The 2,687-nt window shown below is 46.6% G+C and overlaps 1 annotated feature.

Annotated features, from left to right (window-relative positions):
- Positions 634-1,598: an enhancer, noted in NCBI's record as "OCT4-NANOG hESC enhancer chr11:93852752-93853716 (GRCh37/hg19 assembly coordinates)". NCBI's record gives its function as "activates a minimal SCP1, AML or CMV promoter by ChIP-STARR-seq in naive and primed H9 embryonic stem cells {active_cell/tissue: H9 hESC(naive and primed)}" and the evidence as "EXISTENCE:reporter gene assay evidence [ECO:0000049][PMID:30033119]".

Raw genomic sequence — 2,687 nt, forward strand, 5'->3', positions numbered from 1 at the left:
GTTGGGAGGGGTGGTTTGCCTGGAACCAGCTTCTGCTTTTCCTGTACTTCTGGGCTGAGCCAAGTGTCAACAGAGAGGAAAGTCATTCAGCTCTGGGGTCCTGACAACAAGTTGGTTGACCCTGCGGCCATGAGCAGAACTCTCAAAGTCATGTCACCCAAGCGAGACTCGCCCATCTATCCTATCTATCCTGACCCTTGCCTACTGGGTCCTAATGCCTGTCAGACAAACTTCCTCTCCTCTCTCTTCTCCAAGGCTAGTCCTGCTTCTAAAAACCACTCCTTGCCTCTGGTGCTTTTCTAGTTTCTCCTATAAGAATGATTTCTAGTATAAACTTCAGGACTCTATTCCCTTCTTTAGGCACCCAGACTCACCAACCAGAAAGACATAATTTTTGCCCAAAGCTCCATCATAGCGGGGACTACCTGGAATTTTAGGATCCCTCCTCAGACAAGCAGGCCTAACAAAAGCTATTCCTGAAGCTAGGATATGGGGAGCCTCAGAAATTTTATCCTTCCTATTCATATAAGTGAGGACAAAAGGCATCACTCTTCCAACTCTGGAGTTCCTGTCCCTCCCTCAGGGTATGGCCCTCCACTTCATTTTTGGGGAAAAACATCTTTATAGGACACAAGTAAAGTCCCAATACTAACAGGAGAATGCTTAGGACTCTAACAGTTTTTCGAGAATGCATCGGTAAGGGCCACTAAATCTGATTTTTCTCGGTCCTCTTTGTGGTCTAGGAGGACAGGCAAGGGTGCGGGTTTTCGAGAATGTGTCTGCAAGGGCCACTAAATCTGACCTTCCTTGGTCCTCCTTGTGGTCTAGGAGGAAAATTAGTGTTTCTGCTGCTGCATCAGTGAGTGCAACTATTCTGATCAGCAGGGTCCAGGGACTGTTGCGGGTTCTTGGGCAGGGGGAGAAACAAATAACCCGTGGGTGGTTTTTGTCTTTCAGATGGGAAACACTCAGGCATCAACAGGCTTACCCTTGAAATGCATCCTAAGCCATTGGGAGCAATTTGACCTGCAAAGCCTGAAAAAGAGGCAGCTCATTTTTTTTCTGTACTACGGTCTGGCCCCAATATTCTCTCTCTGGTGGGGAAAACTGGCCACCTGAGGGAAGTATAAATTACAATACTATCCTGCAGCTTAGCCTTTTCTGTAAGAGGGAAAGCAAATGGAGTGAAATACCTTATATCCAAGGTTTCTTTTCATTGAAGGAGAACACACAACTATGCAAAGCTTGCAATTTACATCTCATAGGAGGACCTCTCAGCTTACCCCCATATCCTATCCTCCCTATAGCTCCCCTTCGTATTAATGATAAGCCTCTTCTAATCTCCCCCACCCAGAAGGAAACAAGCAAAGAAATCTCCAAAGGACCACAAAAACCCCTGGGCTATCAGTTATGTCCCCTTCAAGTTGTAGGGGGAGAGGAATTTGGCCCAACCTGGGTACATGTCCCCTTCTCCCTCTCTGATTTAAAGCAGATCAAGGCAGACCTGGAGAAGTTTTCAGATGATCCTGATAGGTACACAGATGTCCTACAGGGTCTAGGGCAAACCTTTAATCTCACTTGGAGAGATGTCATGCTACTGTTAGATCAAACCCTGGCCTTTAATGAAAAGAATGTGGCTTTAGCTGCAGCCTGAGAGTTTGGAGATAACTGGTACCTTAGTCAAGTAAATGACAGAATGACAGCTGAAGAAAGGAACAAATTCCCTACTGGTCAGCAAGCCATCCCCAGTATGGATCCCCACTGGGATCGTGACTCACATCATGGGGACTGGAGTTGTAAACATCTGTTGACCTGTGTTCTAGAAGGACTAAGGAGAATTAAGAAAAAGCCCATGAATTATTCAATGATGTCCACCATAACTCAGGCAAAGGAAGAAAATCCTTCTGCCTTCCTCGAGTGGCTATGGGAGACCTTAGGAAAATATACTCCCCTGTCACCTGACTCACTAGAGGGTCAATTGATCCTAAAAGATAAGTTTATTACCCAATCAGCTGCAGATATCAGGGGAAAGCTCCAAAAGTGAGCCCTGGGCTCTGAACAAAATCTGGAGACATTATTAAACCTGGCAACCTCAGTGTTCTATAATAGGAACCAAGAGGAACAGGCTCAAAAGGAAAAGCGAGACCAGAGAAAGGCCGCAGGCTTAGTCATGGCCATCGGACAAATAAACCTTGGTGATTCAGACAGGACAGAAAATGGAGCAGGCCAATCACCCAGTAGGGCTTGTTATCTTTGTGGTTTACAGGAACACTTTAAAAAAGATTGTCCAACAAAAAAGAAGCCATCCCCTCGTCCACGTCTGCTATGTCGAGGCAATCACTGGAAAGTGCACTGCTCCAGGGTGCAATGGTTCTCTGGGCCAGAAGCCCCCAACCAGATGATCCAACAACAGGACTGAGGGTGCCCGGAGCAAGCACCAGCTCATGTCATCACCCTCACTGAGGCCCGGGTATGTTTAACCATTGAGTGCCAGGAAATTAACTTCTTCCTGGACACTAGCGCGGCCTTCTCAGTGTTAATCTCCTGTCCTGGACAACTGTCTTCAAGGTCCGTTACCATCCGAGGAATCCTGGGACAGTCTGTAACCAGGTATTTCTTGCACCTCCTCAGTTGTAATTGGGAGACTTTGCTCTTTTCACATGCCTTTCTTGTTATGCCTGAAAGTC

Source organism: Homo sapiens, chromosome 11 (genome assembly GCF_000001405.40).
Source record: "Homo sapiens chromosome 11, GRCh38.p14 Primary Assembly".
Lineage (NCBI taxonomy): Eukaryota > Metazoa > Chordata > Mammalia > Primates > Hominidae > Homo > Homo sapiens.